This window comes from Homo sapiens, chromosome 12 (assembly GCF_000001405.40).
Source record: "Homo sapiens chromosome 12, GRCh38.p14 Primary Assembly".
Lineage (NCBI taxonomy): Eukaryota > Metazoa > Chordata > Mammalia > Primates > Hominidae > Homo > Homo sapiens.
Window position 1 is genome coordinate 101,293,699 of NC_000012.12, and position 18,972 is coordinate 101,312,670.

The 18,972-nt window shown below is 39.9% G+C and overlaps 1 protein-coding gene across 1 annotated transcript in view, besides 1 other annotated feature; it reads left to right on the forward strand.

Annotated features, from left to right (window-relative positions):
- UTP20 (UTP20 small subunit processome component) overlaps positions 1 to 18,972 on the forward strand; it is a 106,514-nt gene that overhangs the window by 13,594 nt on the left and 73,948 nt on the right. Inside the window, exons 12-21 of the mRNA NM_014503.3 lie at positions 1,782 to 1,960; positions 5,984 to 6,139; positions 6,275 to 6,363; positions 8,750 to 8,855; positions 12,217 to 12,367; positions 13,001 to 13,063; positions 14,487 to 14,645; positions 16,065 to 16,141; positions 18,021 to 18,100; positions 18,338 to 18,578. Of these exons, the coding sequence (NP_055318.2) occupies positions 1,782 to 1,960; positions 5,984 to 6,139; positions 6,275 to 6,363; positions 8,750 to 8,855; positions 12,217 to 12,367; positions 13,001 to 13,063; positions 14,487 to 14,645; positions 16,065 to 16,141; positions 18,021 to 18,100; positions 18,338 to 18,578 (1,301 nt within the window). The remainder of the gene's footprint in view (positions 1 to 1,781; positions 1,961 to 5,983; positions 6,140 to 6,274; positions 6,364 to 8,749; positions 8,856 to 12,216; positions 12,368 to 13,000; positions 13,064 to 14,486; positions 14,646 to 16,064; positions 16,142 to 18,020; positions 18,101 to 18,337; positions 18,579 to 18,972) is intronic.
- Positions 5,614 to 6,813: an enhancer, noted in NCBI's record as "CDK7 strongly-dependent group 2 enhancer chr12:101693090-101694289 (GRCh37/hg19 assembly coordinates)". NCBI's record gives its function as "activates an origin of replication core promoter dependent on BRD2, BRD4, P300/CBP, MED14 and CDK7 cofactors, with strong dependence on CDK7, by STARR-seq in HCT116 cells {active_cell/tissue: HCT116}" and the evidence as "EXISTENCE:reporter gene assay evidence [ECO:0000049][PMID:35650434]".

The window sequence follows — 18,972 nt, forward strand, 5'->3', positions numbered from 1 at the left end:
ATATCTCTGTATCTGTCCTCTCAATATTCTTCCTTTTAGCCTTTAATACTATATATTCTCATTTGCCTAAAAAGAACACTTTTGTACCTGTCCAAGATCTGTTTCTTTCTGCCCCAGGAAGACTCTTCATCTTGCTCTGTTTAACAACTGCATTTTTCCTTTCTCCCGTGTTCCCTTTGGTCTTTTTATTTTTTTTTAATCTTATTTTTATCCAAATACTGCTTACACGTCTGTAGTTTAGGAAGACAAACCAGGTTAAATGGCAGTCATTTGTTTTCTGCTCCCATCTTATTAGCAGCCATCGGGTCTAATGATTTTTAGCTATTTTTTTTCTTTTCTTTCTTCTTTTTTTTTAGAGACGGAGTCTCACTCTGTCGCCCAGGCTGGAGTGCAGTGGCATGATCTCGGCTCACTGCAACCTCTGCCTCCCAGGTTCATGCCATTCTCCTGCCTCAGCCTCCCAAGTAGCTGGGACTACAGGCACCCACCACCACGCCTGGCTGATTTTTTGTATTTTTAGTGGAGATGGGGTTTCACCATGTTAGCCAGGATGGTCTTGATCTCCTGACCTTGTGATCTGCCTGCCTCGGCCAGCTATTTTTTTCTTATATTTACTTTATACTTTTAAATCATCTGAATATACTGCTTTACCTTGGTTTGCTAGTTTTGGTTCTCATGTGTAGACTTCCTCCTATGGCAGATGGACTTTAGTTCCTTTATACCTCTCATGCTCCCAATAGAATTATATTAGAAATTTTGGTTGAATCCATATTCACCACATACTTATATAAACAAGGAGTATTTTATGATTATATGACCTTTTTGTATACATTCTCGTTTTTCTTTTTTTTTTTTTTTTGTCGAGACATAGTCTCACTCTGTCACCCAGGCTGGAGTGTAGTGGTGCCATCTCTGCTTACTGCAACCTCCACCCTCCGGGTTCAAGTGATTCTCCTGCTTCAGGCTCCTGAGTAGCTGGGATTACAGTCATGTGCCCCCACGCCTGGCTAATTTTTGTATTTTTAGTAGAGACGGGGTTTTACCATGTTGGCCAGGCTGGTCTCTTAACTCCTGACCTCAGATGATCTGCCTGCCTCGGCCTCCCAAAGTGTTGGGATTACAGGCATGAGCCACCACACCTGGCCTCATTTTTCTTAGAGTTTATAATTGCCTCGTTCTTTAAAAACTGGAAATTGTTTTCTTTGAATGGCTGGCCAAAGAGTCTGTCTTCCAGCAGCTTTATAAATGTCCTTCACATGACAAAACTGTCAGATAATTTAGCAGCTCAATTTTTCTTTTTCTTCTTTCTTGGAGACATTTCTCCTGGAGCAAGTCCAGTCTAAATGCATTGCTTTCTCTGCCCAGTGCACAAATGTTGTACTGGGACTTCCTTTTGCTTCTCTCTTGTTTCCTGGGTTCCGTGTTCTCTTCTTCTTATAGTTTAGTCTCTAATTTTGGTGGAATTTATTTTTCATAATTTCCTGGGGGTAGGGAGGGTTCATGGAGATAAAATATTGAGATTTAATACATCTGAAAATGTCTTTATTCTCTCCTGACACTGCATTATTAGTAGACAGGGTATAGAATTCTAGATTCTAAGTCATCCTTCCTCAGAGTTTTAAGACATGGCTGCACAGTCTTTAGTTTCCATTGTTCCTATGTAGAGGTCTAATGCCATTGTGATTCTTGATCCTTTGTTTTTGGTCTAGTTTTTTGAATTGTTAGCATCTTCTCTTTATTATATCTGTTAATAAGTGTGATTTTTTTTTTCTTAACTTTAGCTTTTTCTACCAAGCTTTCTGTCATATATTGTGAATTGCTTCTTAATTGATGATGCTGTAGTCAAAGATGAAGCTCTGGCCATTCTGGCCAAGCTCATTCTGAACAAAGCAGCACCTCCCACTGCTGGCTCGATGGCAATTGAAAAGTACCCTCTGGTTTTCTCACCGCAGATGGTGGGGTGAGTTCTAACTTTTTATTCCTGTAATGATGATAAGTTTACCCATTTAAATGTAATGTATCAAGAATACTGTAAAAAAATGATCTATATGTAACAGGAAAGATGTCCATGATAAGTTGTGTGAAAAAAGCAAGTTGTAGAGCTACACACATAGTACGTATAGTATGATCTCATTTTGCAAGGTAAAGCAAAAAGTGTGTATGAACATAGAAAAACATGTGGAAGGATACAGAAACTTGTTAACTTTGTTTAATCAGAAGGATGGTAAGGGAAAGACAGAGGTGACTTAATTTTTTAACCATTTATTTTAAAGTTATTGTAGATTCACGTGCAGTTGCAAGAAATAGTACAGAGAGGTTTCGTATACTCTTCACTCAGATTACTCCATTGGTACATCTTGCATGAGCATACTGCGATATCACAACTGTAGAATTGACATTGGTGCAATCCATCAATCTTATCAGATATCATCAGTTGTATGTGCACTCATCTGAGTGTGTATACTTATATAGATATATAGTCATATGTAGTTTTATCCTGTGTTGATTTGTAACCACCACCAGAGTGAATATCTGGAACTGTTCCCTCACCACGAGGATTCCTCATGCTACCTTTTAATAACCACACTCCTGGCCAGGCGCGGTGGCTCACGCCTGTAATCCCAGCACTTTGGGAGGCCGAGGAGGGCAGATCACGAGGTCAGGAGATCGAGACCATCCTGGCTAACACGGTGAAACCCTGTCTCTATTAAAAATACAAAAAATTAGCCAGGCGTGGTGGCGGACGCCTGTAGTCCTAGTTACTCGGGAGGCTGAGGCAGGAGAATGGCGTGAACCCGGGAGGTGGAGCTTGCAGTGAGCCGAGATCACGCCACTGCCCTCCAGCCTGCACGACAGAGCGAGACTTCATCTCAAAAAAAAAAAAAGAAAAATACAAAAAATTAGGTGGGTGTGGTAGCGGGCGCCTGTAGTCCTAGGTACTGAGGAGGCTGAGGCAGGAGAATGGCGTGAACCCAGGAGGTAGAGGTTGCAGTGAGCCGAAATCATGCCACTGCACTCCAGCCTGGGCGACAGAGCAAGACTCTATCTCAAAAAATAAAATAAAATAAAATAAAAATAAAAATTATATACCTTTGTATTGTTTCAGTTGTTAAGTGTCATGGATTACTTTCTTAATTTCATTCAAAATGACACATTGTTTAGAAGTTAAAAACAAAGCTTATTTACATACATGAGAAGATTTATTGTATCATTTCTCAAATAGTTAAGTGGGTATGCTTCTAGAAACTGTAGCTTAGGAAACCAGTTCCCTTGTCATTCCTTTGTTTTTATACTTAATCTTCTTATTTCTCTTGGAGTAGTTAGACCCGTTGTTGTGTTTTTGGTTTGCTTTGAGGCGGAATTGATGGGCATTCCTTGAGTTTGTGCTGAATACTCGACTTTGAAACATCCATGGAGGTGGGAGTTACTGTCCCACAGTCACAGAGCAGAGCTAGCTTTTGAGTTTGATCAGCTTGAGGTTCTGGAGGAACCTATTTTCTTTTTTAAATGTTTTATTTATTATTATTATTATTTTAAGAGCAGGTCTTGCTCTGTCACCCAGGCCGGAGTGCAGTGGCACAATCACGGCTCACTGCAGCCTCGATCTCCAGGGCCCAAGCTATCCTCTCACTTGAGCCTCCCAGGTAGCTGGAACCATAGGCACGCACCACCATGCCCAGCTAATTTTTTAATTTTTGTAGAGACGAGGTCTCGCTATGTTGCCCAGGCTGGTCTCAAACTCCTGGACTCAAGTGATCTTCCTACCTTGGCCTCTCAAAGTGTTGGGGTTACAGGTTGAGCCACTGTGTTTAGCAAACTCATCTTAACACCTACTTATATCTTCTGTATACCTTACAAATTGCTTCTCTATTAAAATATGCCAACAGAATCTTGTTGGTTTTTAAATGTATTGAATTCTGATTCCTGAGGAATGGGTAGTGAGTAACTCCAATAGAATTATTCCTTTGAAACTTTTCCCTTGATTTGTCAACACCCAAGCCCATCTCCAACAGGCAGATTCCTTGCACATGCCAAAACTGAGTTCTGTGCAGGGAGAGTGAAGCTGCTTTGTTGTTTGGCTTCCATGAGGTGAAGCTAAGGGACTGACTGAGACTGGGCGTCAGACCTTCTTACCCCATCATCTCAGCCATCTCAGATCCTCCCAGGAGGGTGACGTGTTAAATAAATAAATTTCGATGTGCTAACTCATGGCAAGTTCTTCCACTTCTGTGTTTCTTTCTCTGCAAAAACACCCCTCTGCCACCCCCAACGGAGATATGGTATGTGTGAATGGTCACCTTTGTTTTGATTCCTTCTATGAAGATTTTAAAATCATAGTTTGAATATTACTAGTAACACTCTATCTACCCATCTCACCAGTTTGCTGTGAGAAAAAATAAAGATAATAAATGTGAAAAGACTCTTTAGGAGATAAACTTACTGTCGTTTGACAACTACTTACGGTATCAGGCACTGGATACTGGGGTGCAACAAAGAATAAGAAAAAAGTTCCTTCTTTTGGGGAAAGGAATGTGGTGAGGCGGGTAAGCAAATAAGCGAGATGATTTCAGATCCTGATCGTGATAAAAGAAGACAAAGCAGTGTTGAGAGGGAGACTGAATGGAGAGGGGTCACTTTCCAGAGAGGGAACGTTTGGTCCAATTTTAAGCTGGGAAGGATCCAGCCTTGCAAAGATCTCAGTGAGAGACTCTCCAGACAGAAGGAAAAGTTAACTGCAAAGACTCTGGGACAGGAATAAGCTCAGCATGTTTGAAGTACAGAAAGAAAACCTCTGTGGGTAAAGAGCAAGGAGGAGATTGGGGTGAGAGGAGATGGAGGTGGGTGAGGGTCAAATCACAGAGGGCCTTACAGGATGACTTAAGGAGTATGGACTTCATTGGTGGAGCCATTGGCAGGTCTAGAAAACGGGAATGACGTGGCAACTAATGACTCATTTTTGTTTTTTAAAGCATCTTAGTATTTTGTAAGATTTTTGCAGATTGTTGAGTCATGATTATTACTAAAAAGACTATATATATCAAGATGTGGTGACTTTAAGGAATTGATAATTAAATTAACTTAGTTATCTATCATGATTTCCAGACACTAAACATCCTGGTAAGTATGAAACAAAAGAGAATGTAGCTTTTTGGAGAATTTTTTTTCTTTGTTTTTGTTTTTTTTTTTCCTTCCTTCCCCTACCTGACCATTTTTTGGTGAATTTTAATGATAAAAAGGGTGCAAGAGTAAAAACCTGATATTCCACTTCTATTGCATAACAAGCTAACCAAACTGGAGTTGGAGGATAATTGTAAAACAGATCATTTAACTTAAGATTTCTGTGATTTTTCTTTTGATTAGATTTTTGTCTTTCAAATAGGACCGAGGTGTAGTACATTGGCAAAAATAAAAAGAGGCTAACAAGAATAGTTAGCCTCTATCTAATCTGTGACCAGAGTCACAGATATTCAAAACAGAATGTCATGTCGAAAAATGTCATTGAGCAACTGTGTATCTGATCAAAGCAGCAGGAGAAAATTACTTATATGTCATAATCATTTTAGTGGTATTCGTCAACTTCATCACAGTAACTTTGCAACATCATTCTACATTTGTGGAAAGTAGTAAAATTCATGTCAAAAAGGAAAGGGAGAATGGAGGAAGTCAGTTCATTCCAGTGAATTGTCAATCAAAAACATGCCCAGGAGCACAAAATTGAGAAATCATACTTAAAACTAGAAGAAACTTGGTTTAAGTTATAAAGCAAATTAAAATAGAAGTGAAAGGAAGTAGAGCCAGTGGAGTTGAAAAAGCTTCTCACTGAAAACTCAGTAAATGACTCACATTTGTTTAGCTCAACCACCACCACCAATTCCTTCCCTCTAATGCTCCACAATGGTAAGAATCCAATTTTATTTCAGACTTCAGAGGGCAAGAGCGATTACATTCTCTGTTATTTTAAACATTTTTTTTAATCCTTCAGATTCTATATAAAGCAGAAGAAGACTAGATCCAAGGGAAGAAACGAACAGTTTCCAGTATTGGACCATCTTTTATCTATAATTAAGTTACCCCCAAATAAAGATACTACTTACCTTTCACAATCTTGGGCAGCCCTCGTGGTGTTACCTCATATTAGGTAAGAAAATAAGCTATGTTTAATTTTGAAAGAGATAACATGCTGATTAAAATATGTTAGCCATTCCTTGCTGTTCTCTGAAACAAACCATTGAATGCCAGTTTGAACTTTTCCCTTTTTCTCCCCCTTGGACAGACCTCTTGAGAAAGAGAAGGTGATACCACTCGTCACCGGCTTCATAGAGGCACTCTTCATGACTGTTGACAAAGGAAGCTTTGGGAAAGGTCAGTTACAATCATCATGTGTTCTCTTCTCTTCTTTTCTGGCACACTCAAAGTAATTGTAAACACATGAGCTATTAGAGAATAATACTTACATTGTGTTCTGGCATAACCCCCTGGATGATAAATCTGGAAGAAATGAGGATATGATGGGCATGTCTCACTTGTACCACATAATGTGGTGACTGGGTCACGGTGGCTTGAGCATAAGGAAGGGGACATATCAAAAGGATGCCATGGCTTAGAAGGCCATTTGTTTTTGAGCCCCATACCAGGTCCTCTTTTTCATCTCCCACGTACATCTGACTCCTAGTATACACCTTATGCTCCAAGCAAATCCATTTGCTTACCATGAGAAAGACACATTCTTTTGCAACTTTTACAACTGTATGGCTGCCTTTGCCCATGTGTTTCCTCTGCATGGAGACCCTTCTAGGTCTTTGTCATTCAGTGAACTCTTGCTTATCTTCCAAAACTCAGCTCAGGCACAACACCTCTAGGAAGGCCTTTATGACTCTTTAGGCAGAATTAGACTGCCCTGCCCAAAACACCATTTCCTATTAGATATTTATATGTCTCCCCCACTAGTCTGCAAACGGCAATTCAAAAGCAGTTATTTAATATTTTGTTTTATTCTAATGCAAAATTTTTTAAAAATCACGTGTATATAGTGGTCATTCATTCACTTAAATATTAATGTGCTACATTCTGTGTTAGATACTAAGCAGACGTATTAGAGAATAAAGTGGACTCGCCGCATGTCAAGTGCTCTGTAGCCATATGTGACTGGTGGCTACTGTACTGGATTGTGGCGACATATTAGGACAAGTATTTTTACCATTGTAGAAAATTCTGTTATACAGCACTGATCTAGAGCCTAGAGCAGGGACTGGTAAAATCTTTTTGTAAAGGACCAGACAGTAAATGTTTTAGGTCTTATGGGCCACATTCAGTCTTTGTGGCATATATATGTATATATACACACATACATATATATATTTTTTTAAACAACCCCTTCAAAATGTAAAAAACATTTTTAGCTTGCAGTCCATATAGAAACAGGCTGCTTACCAGATCTGACTTGCAGACCATATAGTTTGCTGACCTCTGGGCTAGAGACATAGTTTGCTGACCTCTGGGCCAGAGACTAAATGAGTGTTTAATTAATATCATTAATTATGTTGGATATCATGGCTTAGGCCTGTAATCCCAGCACTTTGGGAGGCTGAGGCGGGAGGATCACTTGAGGCCAGGAGTTCAAGACCAGCTTGGGACACATAGTGAGAGCCCCCCCCGCCCAACTCTGACTCTCTATTTAAAAAAATAAGGCTGGGTGTGGTGGCTCATGCCGGTAATCCCAGCACTTTGCGAGGCCGAAGTGAGTGGATCACCTGAGGTCAGGAGTTTGAGACCAGCCTGGCCAACACGGGGAAACCCCATCTCTACTAAAAATACAAAAATTAGCTGGGTATGATAGCACATGCCTGTAATCCCAGCTACTGGGGAGGCTGAGGCAGGAGAATCACTTGAACCTGGGAAGTGGAGGTTGCAGTGAGCCGAGATCACACCACTGCACTCCAGCCTGAGCGATGGAGCAAGATTCTGTCTCAAAATAAATAAATAAATAAATAATATCATTAATTGAATGTATTATGGGTAGTAGCCATTGAATATGTGACTTCTTATAAACTTGAAAAATAAAATCAACAAGTTTTATACCAAGATAATTTCTTAGCTATTGATAAATCCAAGCCTGCACTCCTCAAAAGTACTAGTTTTGATAACATCAGTGAGTGGGACCATTATACTTGGTACTCATTTTGGTTAATGGAACATACACATTTTTATTCTCTACTTCTGAGTATTTATTTATTTATTTATTTATTTTGAGACTGTCTTGCTCTGTCACCCAGGCTGGAGGGCAGTGGCACGATCATGGCTTACTGCATGCAGCCTTGACATCCCAGGCTGAAGCAATCCTCCCATCTCAGCCTCCTGAGTAGTTGGGACTACAGGTGTGAACCACCATGCCCAGCTAATTTTTAATCTTTTATAGAGATGAAGTCTCACTGTGTGGCCCAGGCTAGTGTTGAACTCCTGGCCTCAAGTGGTCCTCCCACCTCAGCACCCCCAAAGTGCTGGGATTACAGGTATGAGCCACCATGACCAGCCTGTATTTTTCTTAAGAAAGGTAAAATATAGGACTTGGAAACTTCTCTTTTCTGTTTCTTTCTGTTATATTTGGATGTTTGACAGACAATTCTTTGGAAGGCATAAATTCACTTTAAGAACTTCCCATAAGTAGCAAGTATTCAATAAATAAGGTGTTTGATAGTTAATAATGTCAAAGAAATAAGTAATGTGGTTTCTCCTGTTTTTCTGCCCTTAGGAAACTTATTTGTTCTTTGTCAAGCTGTAAATACTCTACTAAGTTTGGAAGAATCTTCTGAACTTCTTCATTTGGTTCCTGTGGAACGTGTGAAGAATTTAGTATTGTAAGTAAACATCTTCCAGTTGGTTTAGTAATGAATAAAATATAAAAGCCTCTATTGTTGTGAAATCTTGGACACAAAGAAAATCCCTTTGATCTATTTTATACCTGAGTTGTATTCACGTAGTGAAATTTAATATTGATTTAGATCCTCCAGTTAAAATAAGTACATTTGACACAGTCTTTAAATACAGATTCATCTTTGTAAAGGGTGTTTTATTGCGTGTGTAGATTAATGTCGTAAAGTTTGAAGGGTTTGTAATGCTGATCATTCCCAACTGTAACGTGGCATGATGTTGACCTTTTATAACTTCTTTAGTGGTTCCAACATGCACATTCCCACTCTTGTTCGGCCTCAACTTGAGGTGATCAGCATTTCAGAAAACTTCCCTGTGGTCTTTTTACTACACACTGAAACAATCCAGTTTCTTTTTTTTTGTTGGTTTGGTTTCTTTGTTTGCTTTTTAAGTATAGTTTAGCCAGCCTTTGATTTTGATAGCAGCACAGAGCCATTTGAGAGGAGCCAACAATATATCTTTTCTAAAGGTCAAGCCTTGCTGCTTTTTCCTGAAGTCTACTCCATTTTATTTCCAAGTGTTTTAAAGATTTATTCATTCACTTTGTTCAGTAGGTAATCATTTGCTTTTCTCACATGCCAAGCCCTGTTCCAGGCACTGTGAAACATAGTGAATAAAACAGACAAAATTCCCTGCCTTCTTGTAGCTAATGCTCTAGCCAGAAGAGGCACTAAACAGAATAAAAAGTAAACTATATAGCGTGTTAGGAGGTGCTAAGTGCTGTGAAGAAAAACAAAGCAGGGTCAGGAGATAGGGAGAGTCCAGAGGTGAGGGGAGCGGTAGCAGTTTTAAATCAAGGTGAACTTACTGAGGAGGAGACACTTAAGCAGAAGGCGGAAAGCAGTGAGGGACGTAAGCCATGAGGATACCTGCGGTCTGGGCTGCTCCCTGGGTTCCAGACCTGGAGGCGACATGAATGCCAACGCTCTGTGGGGGTGGTGGGTGCCTGGCTTGAACAGCAAGGAGAGGTCATCTTGGCTGAGCAGAGCACGAGAGTGGGCTGTAGGAGAAGAGGACAGAGAGGTGGAGGCAGTAGACCTCCTTAGGTCACCGTAGGGCCTTGGCTTTTACTCTGAATGAAAGGGGAGGCCATGGGAGGATTTTTGGCAGTGGAATGACTTTGACCTAAACAGAATCACTCCGGCTGCTGTGTTGAGACTGTAGGGGAATACTATAATAATCTGGAATCTCTTTGCCTTTCCAAATCTGGGTGAAGTTGGCATTTCTCCATGGTTAATTGCATTGGTTTAAATTAACTTCCTGTAGAGAGGATTAGTTCTTTGACATCACCACATTTACCATATTACATAGTCTCCCTTTTAAAATCATTCTGTTTAAACTTCTCATACTTTCACCCTTGGTATAAACAATTGAAGGTGGCTGTAGAAATTGAAACAAAAGACACACATAGCACAGAATGGGGTCCATGTTCCCCTTGGGGAAGGCCAGCTTGCCTCCCAGCCAGGTGGCTCTAAGCCTTGGAGACACAGAGTTGTCCAACAGGAGTGGCTCTGGTTTTGAGGGCAGGGGCATAAACTTGCAGAGTAGATGCAGGATTCTGTTCTCTTTGCTATGCTAGTAGACTGATGAGCACCTAGGTTTCACAGCCAAGACTGCCTGGTTTTGACTCTTGAATCCACCACTTACTAGCTGTAGCCTTGGGTGACTTAGTTAACCTCAACTTGATTATCTCTCAAAAAGGGGTAGTGAAGAAAAAAAGGAAGGAATAGAAATCTCACCTTGTAGAGATTAAGTTATACAATGCATGCAATAATAGTAATAAACAATTGCATTGATTGTGTCACAACAATTCCATGATGTGTGGGTACTGTTATCAGTATAGATGGAGGAACTAAAGTTTCAAAAGAAAGCCCTGGTCTGAACTCCTTTCTTCCGCTCTTGCCCTGCTGCTTCTAAGTATAGGACAGATCATGCCACTCCTTTGCTCATCACCCTCTAATACAGTGCTTCTCAACTGGGAGCAAACCTGGAGACTTTCCAGCTGTCACAGCATGGGGAAAGAGCACTGTTACTGGCATCTAGTGGGTGGAGGCCAGGGATGCTGCTGAGCCCCCTGCAGTGGGCAGCACTGCCCTCCACCACAAAGAGTTCTCTGGCCCAAAATGTCAGTAGTGCTACTGTAGAGAAACCTTGCTCGAGAGGTATCCCATCTCACTCTATAAAATCCAGCATCCTCATCATGTTCCTCGGGGCTCCGTATGAGCTAACTCCTGGCTAGTTCTGACATCTTCAGGCACTCTTTGTTAGTTCCAGCTGAGATGGCCTCCTCGATGTTCCTGCAGACAAGCACACCTCAGACTGGCATTGCAGTTCCCTCTGCCTAGAATGCTTTTCTTTCAGATACCCTTTTAGCTGACTTTTTCACTTCCTTTGGTCTCCGTTTTTTAGGAGCACCCCTGTATCAAATGGTGCTTCTCTTCACCTCCACACCGTCTCCCCACAACTCCCTGCATGTCAATCTCTTTGTCAAGCCTTTTTCCCCTGGTTTTCTGGAGAAAACCAGGGTTTTCTCCAGAACCTGGTTTCTCCAAACCTGGTTTCATGGAGCCTTTCTCCATGACGCTCATCACTGTCATAGTACTTATTTATTGGCTACTTTCCCCTACTAGAATATAAGTTCCAGGAAAAGGAACTTTGTCTTTTGTTAACTGCTATATCTACAGTATCTAGAAAAGTCACAGTACATAGTAGGTACTCAATGAATATTTGTTGCATAAGGATGGTACCAAGAGGTTAAGCAACTTGCCTGAGGTTACACTGCTTATGAGTAATGGTGCCAGATTCAACCCTGGGCTGCCCTACCCCAGAGCTCGTGTGTCAGACTACTCCTCTCTACTATCCTCATTAGCTCGGTGCCTGGCACATGACAAACACTTAATAAATATTATATATGTATATATTATATTAAATATTAAATTTAATATTTAATATTATTTAATAAAATATAAATTAAATAATAAATATTATATATATATATATATAAGTGGCTGTCATTTACAACTATGTGGATTGAAGAGGCAACATTGGAGTCTAGCATATTCTGCTCCCACCTCTGCCTGCAACCAGCTGTGTGTCCTTGCATATGTCACTCATTGTTGCTGGGCCTCAGATTCTTCATCTATGAAGTGAGCCAGATATCCACGTGAGACTTTTGCCTGTTACCTTTTACATTTTCTTCATCAGTGATCATTTTCTGTGGCTTATACTATAGTCTAGATACTCTGGGTTATATGGTACAGTTTGGGTCTAATGAACATCTCGTTGCAGAACCTTTCCCCTGGAGCCATCTGTGTTGCTGTTGACTGATCTCTATTATCAGAGATTAGCCTTGTGTGGCTGCAAAGGGCCACTTTCCCAGGAGGCTTTAATGGAATTATTTCCCAAGTTACAAGCAAACATTTCAACTGGTGTATCCAAGGTAATGGTGTTTTGTGGTAGTGTGTCCTCAGTCTCTCTTCTCCTGTTTCTATATGGACTGCAGTGGTTTTCAGAGCATCTTAGTTAGAAAGTGTTGCTGTGGGATGATTTCTGTTTAAAGCGATGATTCTTAAATGTTGGCCTGCAAACCAATTGCAGTAGGATTAGTTAGGGAGATAAATAAAAATACAAATTCTGGGTCCCTACCCTCAAAGATTCCAATTCAGTAGGGCTAGGGTAGAACTGAAAAATCAACATAGTTTTTTTTTTTAAGTCTTCTAGGTGGTTCTCCTGCTCATTTAGGTATGCGGAAATACCTGAATATTGTACATTACTTAGGAATAAAAATCACTAACTTTAATTGAATTGACAACTTAATCAACTTCTTTGTACTTATTTACAGACATGGTTATAGTGTCATAGTTCAAAGAAACTACTGATTGTTCCATGTACTATTTTAACTAGGTGTTGGTTGGTGTTGAATATGAAATAAGGGCTAGAATAGGCACATATTACTCTGGTCAAATGGTATTTTTTTTTTAAATTGTATAAAACTTAAATCTTGCTGACTGTGAATCAGTTTCTTTTTATGGTTAAACTTTGGAATTTGAAAGATGCCTTTTACTTTCTCCAGATTCGGCTTTTGACAATAAGGATCCTAAACCATTTTGATGTCCAGCTTCCAGAATCAATGGAGGTATTTTAACTGTTTGAGTGGATAGGTTTTAAAAAAATATAGTTTTACATATTATTGTGGTTTCCAAAATGATACCTTTGCAGAAAATTAACACACTATATAAATATCTGTCGTAAAAATTGATTTTTTTGGCTGGGCGCGGTGGCTCACGCCTGTAATCCCAGCACTTTGGGAGGCCGAGGCGGGCGGATCACAAGGCCAGGAGATTGAGACCATACTGGCTAACATGGTGAAACTCCGTCTCTACCAAAAACACAAAAAAAGAAATTAGCCAGGCGTGGTGGCGGGCACCTGTAGTCCCAGCTACTCGGGAGGCTGAGGCAGGAGAATGGTGTGAACCCGGGAGGCGGAGCTTGCAGTGAGCCGAGATCGCACCACTGCACTCCAGCCTGGGCGACAGAGCGAGACTCCGTCTCAAAAAAAAAAAAAAAAATTGATTTTTTTTTTTTGGTAACTCTTACTCCTGTCTACCAATAAAGTCACCACTGAAAATCCACCATTAATCGGCAAATATTCTTTCAAACTTTTTGAATACACACACACACACACACACACACACACACATAATTTAAACAAATGGGGTTTTTCCATATGATTACCTCTATATCTACCACATACCTCATTTCTTTTCTTTTTACGGGGTCTCACTCTGTCACCTAGACTGGAATGCAGTGGCGTGATTTCGGCTCACTGCAGTCTCCACCTCCCCGGCTCAAGCGATCCTCCTGGCTCATCCTTCTGAGTAGCTGAGATTATAGGTGCCTGCCACCACGCCTGGCTAATTTTTGTATTGTTAGTAAAGATGGAGTTTTGCCATGTTGGCAAGGCTGGTCTCGAACTCCAGACCTCAAGTGATCTGCCCACCTCATCCTCCCAAAGTGCTGGGATTACAGGTGTGAGCCACTGTACCCAGCCAATATCTATCTCATTCCTTTTGAAGTTTGAATACTACTCCACAGTTGAAAATGTCTTATTTAGCCATTTTCTTGTTGACGGATGGTTAGGTAGGTTTTGCATTTTTTTAGGATTTCAAACAATACTGCAGTGAACATCCTTATACGGATATGTTTATGTAGGGAAATAGTTCCATAATGCAGATTACTAGGAATAGATTTGTGAAGCAAAAGCGTATGTGCATTTTATTTTTATTTCAACAAATGTTGCCAATCAATTTGAGTGACTTGAGAATGATTTTCCTGTTGTTTAGTTGTCATTTATGCACTAGACACTAAATTATCTACCAAGAAGTAAATGGTATGGGGAGAAAAGAATCATTTACCAAAAAAAAAAGTGTTACTTATTTCATTAAAAATATTAACATATTCCAGTTTTTCTATTTTTAGACCTTTGGTCACATTTAATGTTCTTTTTGGAAAATCAAAATACTGACTGGTCTTCTCCATGGTTTTCTCTGGTTATTCAGGATGATGGGCTCTCAGAGCGGCAGTCTGTCTTTGCTATATTACGCCAGGCAGAACTTGTTCCAGCAACTGTGAATGATTATAGAGAGAAGCTTCTTCATTTGAGAAAACTAAGACATGATGTGGTACAGACTGCTGTCCCTGATGGGCCGTTACAGGAGGTAAAAATAGTGTTCTTTTATTTTTCCTTTTTAATTCATGCTTTAAATCCTGTTTGGGGAAGCACATCAAGTAGTCACCAAAATAATAATAATAATAATAATAATAATTTAAAAATAATAAGGGAAATCCCCAGTTCTCTTAGATGCTTTGAGTTAAACAGCTCTACCAGCTTTTTTAAGTAGCAGGAATAATTTAGTATTCTCTGTTTCAGGCATGAGCCACTGTACCTGGCCATGTTAGTACCTTTTTAGAAATGAGTAAGCAGGGGCTCATTGAACCTGAGTGACGCAGGTAGGTAGGTAGGTAGTGGCAACAGGATTTAATGTCAGGTTTAAAGCTTGCTCTTCTTCACTAGATTTGTTTGCTGCTGCAGAACATCAGCTCTCTATGTTTTTTTTTTTTTTTGGAGATGGAGTCTCGCTCTGTCACCCAGGCTGGAGTGCAGTGGCGCAATCTCTGCTCACTGCAAGCTCAGCCTCCCGGGTTCACACCATTCTCCTGCCTCAGCCTCCCGAGTTGCTGGAACTACAGGTGCATGCCACCACACCTGGCTAATTTTTTTGTATTTTTCGTAGAGATGGGGTTTCACCGTGTTAGCCAGGATGGTCTTGATCTCCTGACCTCGTGATCCGCCCTCCTCGGCGTCCCAAAGTGCTGGGATTACAGGCGTGAGCCACTGCGCCCGGCCCAGCCCTCTATGTTTTATATCAGGGTTTTCATTCCATGACCCTTGAAGATACATCACAGACCTCTTTGGGAGTAAGGCCAAAAGGAGGCATTCTCCCTTCAGTCAGAGCAGTTCTTCTCTTACCTGTTTTATAAATTAGGTATATAAATATACTTCTGTTTCATTTGGAAAAAAGACTGCTTCTAGAATATATACAAACACCCCATCCCTAAATAATAATAAAACTACCAGTCTGGATGGTGCCTCCCTAGCACATGGGAATGTTAGTAATAATGACCCTTATTCCAAAAGGTGACCGGGAAACTTTAGACCCTTTTACTGAACTTGCAAAGCCTCAGTCATTCACAGCATGTTTCCTTGCGTTCTTCGGCATGTGTGCATTTCTGACTGCTGTTGAAGTTTTGTCTTAATCTGGTGACAGCAACATTTGTTAGAAGGGAGTTTAATCATTAGTCAAATCTGTTCATTTAAATGAATGAATACCTGGAGTGAATTTGAATACTATGTTTGCTGTAGCGATTCTTCTATTTTAAATAGTGAGTGACATTTTGGGGAGAAGAGGAAAATTAGTATACATTGAATTTTGGATTGGTGCCTGCAACTTTTTTTCTTATCGCACAGGCTTCTTTCCAAACCTCAGGTTGTCCAACTTGGGATGTTTGCATTTCAGTACTTCTGTTCTATACTGTATTTCATTACCCAATACTAAACTAGTCTTTTGTAATTGCAGGTGCCGCTTCGTTATTTGTTAGGCATGCTATATATTAATTTCAGTGCACTCTGGGATCCTGTTATTGAACTCATAAGGTAAACATGGGTTAAATGGGATGAAACTATTATACTTTAACTACTGCAGAATGATGGGGCCCAGATTATTCTCCTTCTGGGTGTGATTTAAATGAATGGGTGTATATGGTATTTACAGTACTTTAAATCCTTTGTGAGACAAGGTAAATTAAAAATAAACATGAATTATTCTCTCTGATGCCACATCTTCAGTAGTTCCAATATTATACGTGTGTCTCTTTGTGTGTTGAAATAACTTTGAAGGAGTTTCTCTTTTTGCTTTTTATGATACTTTTGTGTTATTAAAATTTGTTACAGCAAGGAAGTATAATAATTGCATAATTTTATTTCTATATTTTGAGTCATTGAGCCATACTTTAAAAATAAAGACTTTTTCAAAACCTTGCTGTCTAGCATCCAAAATCCCTTTAGCCCCAAAATGTCTTCAGTGGTCACATAGAAAATACATGTTATAGGCCGGGCACGGTGACTCATGCCTGTAATCCCAGCACTTTGGGCGGCTGAGGCAGGTGGATCACCTGAGGTCGGGAGTTCGAGACCAGCCTGACCAACATGGAGAAACACCATTTCTACTAAAAATACAAAATTAGCCAGTCATGGTGGCACATTCCTGTAATGCTAGCGACTCAGGAGGCTGAGGCAGGAGAATCACTTGAACCTGGGAGGTGGAGGCTGTGGTGAGCCGAGATTGCACCATTGCACTCCAGCCTGGGCAACAAGAGTGAAACTCTGTCTCCCAAAAAAAAAAAAAAAAAAAAATACATGTTATGGCTCATGTGTAGAAATCTGTCTTCAGACATTTGTCTTCAGATAATACACACTCACTTTTTTTATCAGATTATCAGATTGGAAATATGTCGTGTGAGGCCTTTCAAAACCCCAACGATTAGTTATTAGTTCTTACTTGACAGAATAAGAGAGTTAACATTTATAGACAGATCCCTTTACAATTTGAAACTAATTTGTCTACCTTTACTACCCTTGTCTACCTTTTACTACAATTTGTCTACCTTTTACTACCTTTCAAAGCCATCAAAACCAGTGTGCCAAAAGCAAGATTCTCCCAACATCAGCTTCATTATTTTGTTTATTACACTTTCAGAAGAGAGAATTTGACATACATATTACCAGTAGCACACTATCAACAGTGTTGGTTCTTTAATTACTGAATGCCATGAGGCATTCTCCCTAGTGGCTGGGCTGTCTTCCTGTTGGGTACCTCTTTCTGTTTGGAAGGATAGAAACAACAACATACCTGTTGGTTTGTTTTCTGAGTAGAGTCAGTTCCCAACATATATAATACATGTCATGTGTAAAGTTTATGCATATTCTTAGAAAATTAGTGATAGAATATTTGAGAGTATTGTTGCTAGGATATCAAACTACATAAGCACTTTATGTGATCCATCTAATGTCTCCTTTTAAGTTCTGAAAAGTTGTTTCATGTAGTTAGTGAATGTTTATTTTGTCTTTGTGTTAATAAGTATATTTAAATTTGGTGGAGGGAAACTAATTATTTTTAAGTTAGTTTTGAACAAACTGACTTTTCTCTCCAGAGGGCCCCTTCTTCTCTTAATGGATCTTATTCATGCCCCATGCCCCAGTTTCATCAGTGTGCCTTTAAAAATGATTTTCTCTTAAGGATCTACTTATATTTTTAAAAATACTCTTTAGTGCTTTATGACTATAAAAATGATTTGTGCTCAGTGCAGGCATTTTGAAAAATATAGAAAAGTGCAAAAGGTGTTTACGACTCCACATTGAGGGATAACCTAATTGACATTTTAGTTATATCCTTTCACTCTTTTTTTTTTTTCTATGAGCAATCTTAAAATGGCCATACCACACTTTTTATTTTGTGATTTTTTTTTTCCCTTAGTTCTCATGCACACGAAATGGAAAATAAGCAATTTTGGAAAGTCTACTATGAGCATCTAGAAAAAGCAGCTACGCATGCTGGTATGTAAAGGGGTTGTGAGGAAGCTGCGAAGAAAAGTGGTTGTTTAACTGTTTTGTTTTTATTGCTTAATTACTCACGAAATTGGAAAACAGAGATGAAACATATATTATCATGATAACTTTTGGGAGTGACATTCTTTCCTTACATTATAGAGAAAGAAATGCCCTCTCTTGAGAAAACACTTAAGATAAATGTTGATATTTGTCTGGTGGTTATGACAACTTTCTTTCTTGCAGAGAAGGAACTACAGAATGATATGACAGATGAGAAGTCCGTTGGAGATGAAAGTTGGGAGCAGACCCAGGAAGGAGATGTTGGAGCTCTTTATCATGAGCAGTTAGCATTGAAAACTGACTGTCAGGAAAGACTTGACCACACCAACTTCAGATTCCTGCTCTGGAGAGCTCTGACCAAATTCCCAGAAAGAGTAGAGCCACGGTCCAGGGAGCTTTCCCCGCTTTTCTTGAGATTTATCAAGTAAGTTTCCTCTTCTAAGAATATGTCCCTGGTGGGGCATGAAGAAGAGAATGTGAGAAGTATTAACCTCCCAAAGTGGCTGAGTTCTTTGTTTTTTGCCTTCTTTCTTTCTGCTTCCAATCATCCATTAGGCTGAGGTATTTTTTGTTTGTTTGTTTTTGTTTTTGTTTTGTTTTGTTTTGTTTTTAGACAGAGTTTTGCTCTTGTTGCCCAGGGGTGCAGTGGTGCGATCTCGGCTCACTGCAACCTTCACCTCCCAGATTCAAGCGATTCTCCTGCCTCAGTCTCCCAGAGTAGCTGGGCACAGGCATGCGCCATCACGCCTGGCTAATTTTGTATTTTTAGTACAGACGGGGTTTCTCCATGTTGGTCAGGCTGTTCTTGAACTCCTGAC